This window comes from Homo sapiens, chromosome 1, assembly GCF_000001405.40.
Source record: "Homo sapiens chromosome 1, GRCh38.p14 Primary Assembly".
Taxonomy (NCBI): Eukaryota; Metazoa; Chordata; class Mammalia; order Primates; family Hominidae; genus Homo; species Homo sapiens.
Window position 1 is genome coordinate 175,800,387 of NC_000001.11, and position 9,263 is coordinate 175,809,649.

General features: G+C 42.6%; 1 annotated feature.

The window, feature by feature from the left end:
• Positions 8,155–8,777: an enhancer, noted in NCBI's record as "OCT4-NANOG-H3K4me1 hESC enhancer chr1:175777677-175778299 (GRCh37/hg19 assembly coordinates)". NCBI's record gives its function as "activates a minimal SCP1, AML or CMV promoter by ChIP-STARR-seq in naive H9 embryonic stem cells {active_cell/tissue: H9 hESC(naive)}" and the evidence as "EXISTENCE:reporter gene assay evidence [ECO:0000049][PMID:30033119]".

The following is a 9,263-nucleotide window of genomic DNA, read 5'->3' on the forward strand; positions in this document are numbered from 1 at the left end:
AGCTTCTGGGGAAGGAATCACCTGGTCCTCACACAAATAACCTCACATAAAATGTCAGGTGATATCAACTGCTAAGAAGAAACATTAAGGCCTATTGGGAGCATAGAGAGTTCCTAGATGTGAAGAATGTTGATCTTTCATGTGATGTAGCCAATGTGAGCTAGAGAAGTGACATTGAGTAGACTTGGAGGAAGTGAAGTGTGATCTCAAATCAGCATTCTTCAGCTGTCTGCCCTGTCTTGGTTGGAAATGGTTCCAATTTGGTCATTTCTGGTCAGATTTGACTGCAGGAGGGTGGTTCTCAAATGCGGTGTGGCTGGTTTCCATCAAAGAGTCAACTTAAGGAACCCTCAGCCACCCCTGAACTCTCCATCTTGTTTGTCCTGCTCCCATCTGGTGCAGAAATAGCAAAATGGGACCCTTGCCCTTGGGTGAACCAAGTCCTCTGATCCCTTTCTGTAGCTCTCTCTGATACACCATGAGCACATCAACGATGGAGGAAGAGAACAGAAAAAAGGGAGGTGGGGCAGGGATAGAGGGTCAACCCTGCTGTGATTGGCTGGAGCATCTCTAGAGCCAGCCTCGCTTGGCACCTACAAACACCAAACTCCAAAGTACAAACAATGCTTCTCTAAGCAAGCTGGGCATGAGAAAGGAAAATGTGGTCAACCTCCAGATAGGAATCCTTATAACAGTTCAGCTCAGATGCAAGAAAGTCCAATCTGATAGGTTTAAGATTTCTTCCAGCAAAATTGTCCTTTAACACTTAGGAAATGCTGCGGAAATGCTGCCCTTTCTCCATTCTGAATATTTATTATCCCTAGCCTCTTACCCCCCATTCAAGGCGGCAGACTCATGATAACAAGCAAAAGGGAGTTTCATGTTGTTTTCAGTTTAATTTTCATGATATCTGGCCTTTTCCCTTTCTTCTTCCTTTCCTTCTCTTTCTCTCTCTCTTTTTTTTCTGCTTTTGCATTTACTCAGACTCATAGAGAATATATCAGTTGTCTGCATCTCAGTCAGAACTTGTTGTATACTCAAATCTGAAAGTAGAAACATTAATGATAAAAAGAGGATAGGAGACAAATAAGAAAAAGGAAGTAGCAGGAGTCAGTGGAGAGGAAAAGTCACAATTGTAGAAGAAAAGGCTCCAAATAGAGTAATAATTGACAGTGTGATAACCCCTCAATTCTCCCAAAGCCACAGCCTCAGGCACATACAGCACTTGTATTAGTTTGTGAGGACCGCCATAACATAGTGCCGCAGAGTGGAGGGCCGAGACAGCAGAAATGTATTTCTCACAGTTCCGGAGGCTGGAAGTGTGAGATGAGAGTATCATCAGGGTTGGTTTCTCCTGAGGCCTCTCCTGGGTTTGCAGATGGCCGTGTCCTCCCTGTGTCTTCACACGGTTGTCCCACTGTGTGTACTTGTATTCAAATTTTCCTCTTCTTATGAGAACATCAGTCATACTGAATTAGGGTCCATGCTAATGACCTCATTTTAACTTCATTATTTCTTTAAAGACCCTGTCTGAAAATACATTCACCTTCTGAGGTACAGAGGGTCAGAACTTAAACCTGTATTTTTTGGAGGGAATTCAGCCCATAGCAGCCCTGAAGCTTCAGGATCAGTGAACACCTCAGTCCTCGCTGTCCTTTTCCTTCTTTTTTGCTGGTCTATTTATTTTGGAATCAAGGAGTAACAAAGAGGGTGGGCAGGGCCAGCGATATGGCAGAGGCTGTCTCCACAACAGCTGTGACTTGGGTGCCATGTCAGCAATCCTCCCCGCTCAGGACAGGCCCTAAGAATAGGCACCATGTGGCACCTGCCTCAGGCCCAGTCCAGCGGGGAAGCTGCCTGTGACCCCTGGAACCAGGGACCAAAATCTCCGTCTATTGAAGGCTGACAGGAATTGGTTTCCTCAGTGATGAGCCACTAGAGAAATAAAAGTTTCCTCTTTTCCAAGGAGTAGTCACTAGTCTACCAACAGAAGTCAAGTCCTAACCATCGCCAAACTCCTTCCCCCGACATCCATCTTCCCTGCTCCCAAGACCTGAACATGCTGCTCTTCTTTTCCTCCATTACAACTTTGCCATTTTCTTTTTCCATTTCTTTCTTTTCCACAACATCTGAACGTTAGTGAGAGAGAGAGAGAGCACCCTTCCCAAAGGATCCTGGAGCCCTGTCCTCAGAGGTGAGGACACGTTCTGCGTTCCATCAGTCATCACCTTCCCCTTAATGCAGAATTCTAGGAAGTTCTCAAGCCCTGTTCTAAAACTCTGCCTCACTCCCTGACCTCCTGCATATATTTCCCTGCAGAAGTGAGGTTGGCAATCACTAGGGATCTCTAACTTTCTAATTTTTGTAACCCAATGAACAAACCCCCTTCCAATCCTTTGCAATTGGGTGCAGTCCTGGATTAAAGGGTCAAAGGTAGGACTTTTCTCTCATTCTTTTCTCTTAGACTCCTCCAGCTTTGCAGGAAAGGCAGCTTGAGCAGCGCCCCCATGCCTGAAAGACACAGCTATGCAACACCATTCTCGGGCAACACAAGGAGGCCCTGGGCTAGAGTGTGTGGTATGGTGCTGATAAGATGGATTCTGAGAGTGTTGCGCAGAGTTGTCATATGATGACAGAGCTTTAACGATGATGCAGACACAGCCCTTCGGGTGCTCTAGCTCATCAATGACACATGTGAAACCTATTGATACTGCTGGACCGTGCAGGAGTCTCTGCTGTGTCCTCTTTCCCCACCCCACCCCTGCTTCTCAGGAATCAGGGAGAGATGGGCTGCCTACAGGGAGGTGTCAACCATCCCACAGAGCCCATCAGATAGACATGCCCAAGGAGCAAAACAGAGTTCATTAAACTCACTGCAGCAAAGGGAAACACCGTCTTGTCAGAGTCTTAGTGCTGCTTCAAAAAGAGGACAGTAAGGAAGGCTATTTTTAGTGTTTTGACCCGGGACTCAAATAGTTTTAGGTGGATTTTTTAAGGTAAGGACCTAGTTGGAATTGGACAAAGTTCCTGACATAGTAAAGTTTAGTGGACACAGCAAAGAAAGGGTCTTGATATGCCAACTCTTGTTTAATACGCAAGTTATTTCTTTAGGCAAGCAAATTGTCTTTCTGATAAGGGAGCTATTTGTCCATATAAGAAAACTGTTTGTCTGAATAAATTGGTTGGCAAACAGTAAGATTACATTGTCCACAGCTGTCTCAATTCTCAGTCCCCACTTGTGGCCAGTCTCCAGCCTGAGCTAGAGAATAAATCATTACCTTCTGGGTTGCAATTAATCCACATCTGCACTGATGTTTGAGGTGTCATGATCATGTATCAGTTTCTAACTGTAGTTGTTTCTACCTCTATAAATGTCAGGTTTTCCTGTTTGTGGAAGACAAAATAATGGCCCTTCAAAAATGCCCATATCCTAATTGCTGGAATCTGTGAATATGTTACATTCAGTGACAAAGAGAACTTTGCAAGTATAATTAAGGTGACAGACCTTAAAATAGGGAGATTATTCTGGATTATCTGGTGGCCTAATCTAACCACAAGAGGCCTAGAAAGCTGAGGGCTTTCTTCAGCTAGAAGCAGAAGAAATTAAGCAAAATGAGAAGTCAGAAAGACTCCAAATGTGAGAAGGACGTGATGTGCCTTTGCTGGCTCTGAGATGTAGGGGCCCATGTTCAAGAATCAAAGAGAGGCCCTTGGGAGCTAAGAGTGCTCCCCAGATGACAGCAAGGAAACAGGAACCTCTGTTTTATAGCTGCCAAGAACTATATTTTGCAAATGACCTGAATGTGCTTGAAAGCAGTCTTCTCATAGCTTCTCAGTAAGAACCCAGTTGCCAACACCTGGATTGTGCCCTTTGAAAAATCAGACAGGAGGCTGGGTGTGGTGGCTCACGCCTGTAATCCCAACACTTTGGGAGGCCAATGTGGTAGATTGCTTGAGCTCAGGAGTTCATGACCAGCCTGGGCAACATGGCAAAATCCTGTTTCTACAAAAAATATAAAAATTTAGTAAGGTATGATGGTGTGTGCCTGTAGTCCCAGCTACTCAGAAGCATGAGGTGGGAGGATTTCTTGAGCCTAGCAGGCAGAGGTTGCAGTGAGCTGAGATTGAGCCACTGCACTCTAGCCTGGGTGACAGAGCAAGACCTTGACACACACACAAAAAAATAAAATAAAATTTGGAAAAAAAAGAAAGAAAAGAAAATCAGACAGGAGAAGCAGTCAAACCAACCCAGACTTCTGACCTACACAACTGTGCCATAATAAAGTTGTGTTTTTAAACCACTAACTGGTGGTAATTTATTATGGCCGTAATAGAAAACAGATGCACTGTTCTTATTGCCCACTCATGATTTGTTGGCTCTTGATCAAATGACAACTGCACACTAGCATGTGAGCACTGCAGTAAGGCAAATACTGAGAGAGGGAATACGGTTAGAGTCTGTAGTCCTTTTCTAAGCTATGAGCCTAGTATGTCCTAGAGAAAAAAAAAAAATCTCATCCCAGTGAGAACAGCCTGCAGAACCATATAGGAAGGTGTTAGTTAAATTACGTAATTTCCTGATATCTTCATTGGTTTCCCAGATCTGCAGAAATCTAAGTACAGGCCAGGTGCAGTGGCTCACACCTGTAGCACTTTTGGAGGCAGGGGATCCTTTGAGCCCAGGAGTTTGAGACCAGCCTGAACCACAAAGTGAGACTCTATCACAATTTTAAAAAATTAAAATTCAAGTACAGCATTCTCTGCCTAAGAAAATACATGTTCCACCTTGAAAGGCCTACATTACATCTCTAGGTCTGCACTATTTTGAATCACCATCTGCCCAATCTTATAAACTTCCCTAGTCAGTTCTGTAGACTTAGTAGCATTGTATAATTCTGTCAATGACTAAGGCATTACAAACTCAGATTTTCAGACTTTCAGGTTTTTATTTCAGCCATGAAATAAAGAGGCTTGAAGAGGAAGAAAGTAGTTCTGAATTCTCCTTAATAATCAAGATTTGGGGTATCAGGCCAGGTGCGGTGGCTCACACCTGTAATCCCAGCACTTTGGGAGGCCGAGGCGGGTGGATCACGAGGTCAGGAGATCGAGACCATCCCGGCTAAAACGGTGAAACCCCGTCTCTACTAAAAATACAGAAAATTAGCCAGGCGCGGTGGCAGGCGCCTGTAGTCCCAGCTACTCGGGAGGCTGAGGCAGGAGAATGGCGTGAACCTGGGAGGAGGAGCTTGCAGTGAGCTGAGATCGCACCACTGCACTCCAGCCTGGGCGATAGAGTGAGACTCTGTCTCAAAAAAAAAAAAAAAAAAAAAATCAAGATTTGGGGTATCAAATGAAGGCCCAGTTTTCTTAGTTATCTAAAATCTCTTCTTCTGAGAGGAGAAATGAATGGGCCAATGCAAATTCTGGGTGATATCAAAGACTATTTGATAGCAGGAATCCATTTTTTAAGATAACAAATCCCTGACTGGTTTGTGACTTGTAGGTTTTTGGAACACAAATCCAATTCCAGTGATTGGGAATGTCCCAATGATCAGGAGTCAGACAAAATCTCTACAAAGTTGTCAAGTAGTATTATCTGGTTTTGGCACTCCTTAACAGAAGTGGTTTGGCACTAGCCAGTGAGATTTGTAGAACAGAGATCACTAGGCAGATTTAGAGCAAAAGTGCATAAAGCTGGTCTAGGTAGTGATGAGGTCTATCAAAGTGAGGCACCTCCCAGATGTTCATAGTCCCATGGCCCAGATGTTTCAGAGTTGCTTTCCAAGTTCTATCTATGGGAACACTTAGTTAGAAAGACTAGTTCCTATAGAAGTTCCCCAGGTGTTTTTAGGTGGAAATAGAAAACTTCCATTCTAGGTATGACACAATAGCAAATTTTATATTTTCAGCTTTTAGGCCTTTTTTGGTGTTTGCCATCTAAAAACTCACCAAGTGGTTGAGAAAACCAACTGATTCATGGCTGTTATTGAAGAGAGCTGGATGCTGACAAAAAACTTAAGTATAAAGCCAACCCATTGTTATTGTGTATTTTAGCCAAATTGTGAGCAATCCATAGCAAGATATTGGACTTTTGCCAAGGAGTGACTAGAGATGCAAAGACCAGTAATAAGAAGAGGGTCCTTACAGATACTGCAGTTAAGGGTCGACAAGTGTTTGCTAGAAGATTTTTAAACTAGCAGAGAGAAAAAAAAAACTAGCTAATAAAATACAGGACAAGATATATAAAATAAAGCATGACAATCTATGGCTCTGAAAATCTGGATTTTGTTTTGTGGGTCTTGGGTGGAAGTTTGCGGAACCAAATTACTCAGTTGTCTACTTGATCCAGGTATTGGGTAGGAGCTATCTCCTCCTTTCTGAAGATTATCAGAATCCTCAGCTAAGGTCTCCAGCAGGGACAGTGATCTGAGGGTGGCTTGCGTCTCTTTATGTCAGAGGCAAAAATCCAAGGATCAACCCCTTGGCGTTTTACTGCTGTGTTCTTTATTTCTTAACAGTATCTAAGGTTATTTTCATTGGTGTTTGAAGTCTGTCTTTCTCTGATGTCTCTTTCAGAAAACCATGTTCCCAGGGTTTAGATCATAAAAGGATTGTTTAGGAGGATGTTGAGGGAGGCCGCCCATACCTGTTGATGCTAAAATTGGGTGCAATACATGAGTCTCTTGCAGTATTTGGCCATGTTTTCTTGAAAAAGAGCAGAGTCTGAGATCAGAAGTGGTATTTCTAGACACAGGAATCAGCTTTTAGCTAACGTATAAAGGAGCACTGAGGAACCCCAGGGTTTGATCTTATTGTCGTTAAAACCAGTAGCAATAACTTAGTCCAGGGAAGTTCAAGAGGTCTCTAAGAGTTCTGCTAATCTTAGTTCAGAGTTCCATTTTTTTTTTAATTTTCCAAAGATTGGGGGTAATACGGATAGTAAAGTCTCTGGGCAGGTAAAAAGGCTTCACAAAGCTCTTTAATGACAGTCCCAGTAAATGAGTGTCCCTTTCACTAGAGAAATAAATTAGAATTTCCCAGAATGGGAATGCAAAATCAGGCAATTTTTTTCCCTGCCTTCAGAGCCATAATTCTTTGGCAAGGAAAAGCATCGGTTCCTCCTGAGAAGATTCAAACAATGGTCATATTCAAAACCATTGTGAAGGATAATATGAAATTCTTTCGGAGATGTTCAAAGGGAACCTGAAGCTTAGGACTTATGTGCTTATTATTTTTTCCTTCAGTTTCTTAGCTAGCAGAGGACAATTGTTTGTCCCATGTCCTTTTTGCTTATAATATCTATGGACATCTAAAATAAGAGGCTCCTTTACCTGATTTTATTGACTAGAGAGGAAGTATTGAGTTGTTTTATCTTTAAGGCATTAGCTTCATTCTGCTTTTGTCCTAAGGCTCCTTGAAAATGTTCGGCAAGGCGTTGGAGATATGGCTATGGAGCTCTTTCCCTTTTCAGTCTTTGCTTACATATCAGATTTCCTATTTCTGGCTCAAGATCATTCACAAAGATGAGGAGGAAGCCAAAGTTACATCTGTATCAGGATCTACTCCTGAATGCAGTCTAAAGGTTTTAAAGACTATCTCTGCAGTCTCCAATGGATTCACTCTTTCTTTGCTTACAGGACCAAATTAGAGTCCAATCTATTTTCTCATGATAAACTTTGGGGATATACTCCAAAATAACTTGTTCACTATCTAGAGCTATTGTAACCTTCTTTGTGTTCCTATGTAATTCAGAGTCCTTCAGGAAACTCTCAAGTTTATTACAATATGCCTTTTCCATCCAAAGTGGTTTTTTTTTTTTTTTTTTTTTTTTTTTTTGAGACGGAGTCTCGGTCTGTCGCCCAGGCTGGAGAGTGCAGTGGCGCGATCTCGGCTCACTGCAAGCTCCACCTCCCAGGTTCATGCCATTCTCCTGCCTCAGCCTCCCGAGTAGCTGGAACTACAGGCGCCCGCTACCACGCCCGGCTAATTTTCTGTATTTTTAGTAGAGACGGGGTTTCACCTTCTTAGCCAGGATGGTCTTGGTCTCCTGACCTCGTGATCCGCCCGCCTCGGCCTCCTAAAGTGCTGGGATTACAGGCATGAGCCACCGCGCCCGTCCTCCATCCAAAGTTTTTGTGTCAGGGGTCCATCTGAGGTTTTGTGTCAGGGGTCCCCAAGACCACCTTGAGGCTCAACAGGTAACTAGAAAAACTCACAGGACTGAGAAAACCAGTTATATTCACTCTTCCAGTTTATTACAGCAAAAGGTTACAGATTAAAAATCAGTAAAAGGAAAACGTTCACGGGATGAAGTCCAAGAGAAACCAGGCACAAGCTTCCAGCTGTCCTCTCCCAGAAGAACCACAGGAGGGCCAGTTTAATTCTCCCAGCAACAATGAGTGACAACACAGCGTGAAGTGTTGCCAATCAGGGAAGCTCACCTGAGACTTAGCGTTATAATTGAAGGTCAGTTCTTTCTATTGTATCTGAGCTTTAGAAAATACTTAACAAATTCTTTTAGCTCAGTCTGATATAAGATCTTAAAGGCAATCATGGAGATTTTGCCCTGTGTTGAAGGGGTTTAACTTTAAAAGGCAATTGAGTTTAGGGTGTTTCTCCCATCTCAATTAAAATGACCTTTCTGTCTCTAAGGCCAGAAATGAGGACTAGTCCCAGACTTCTCCCTTTCCTCAACTCCCATAGTCAATAAGTTTTTAGGAACTGCTTCCATTTCCTGTGACAATGTTGTTCTGTTTATGAAGCAGTTTAATGTGAGTATTGGGGGAAGGGAGGAGTGTGTTTCTGGGTGTTAAGATAACATAATAAGCAGATGCCACACAAGAAGAAGGAAGTAGCACATTGCCTAGTATGCATTTAAACAGGCATTTATTGATTACATGAGATTTTTACAGAAATATGTTTTTACAGAAGTGCCAGTTTCATTTGGTGAAGCTGACTGGTTCATAAAGAGATCCAAAGAACACTTGGGTGCCTTTTATGTCTTTTTACTGAGATTTTGTGTGTCTCCATTCGTTAATAATAGCAGAGCAGAGAAATTCTGGCACATTTTATCATTATGCAAATAAATGAACTGGCTTTTCAATAACTTTCTTAAGATAAATTGCTAATTTCCATTAAAAAAGAAAAGCCAGAACTCCTTTATAGAATGACCTTCGTCCCAAGCTGTTTTGCAAAAACAAGTCTTTTCAAAAGCCCATTTCTAGAACGTACATTTTCTCTGGTAGGCGTTTCAAAAGGCAGCA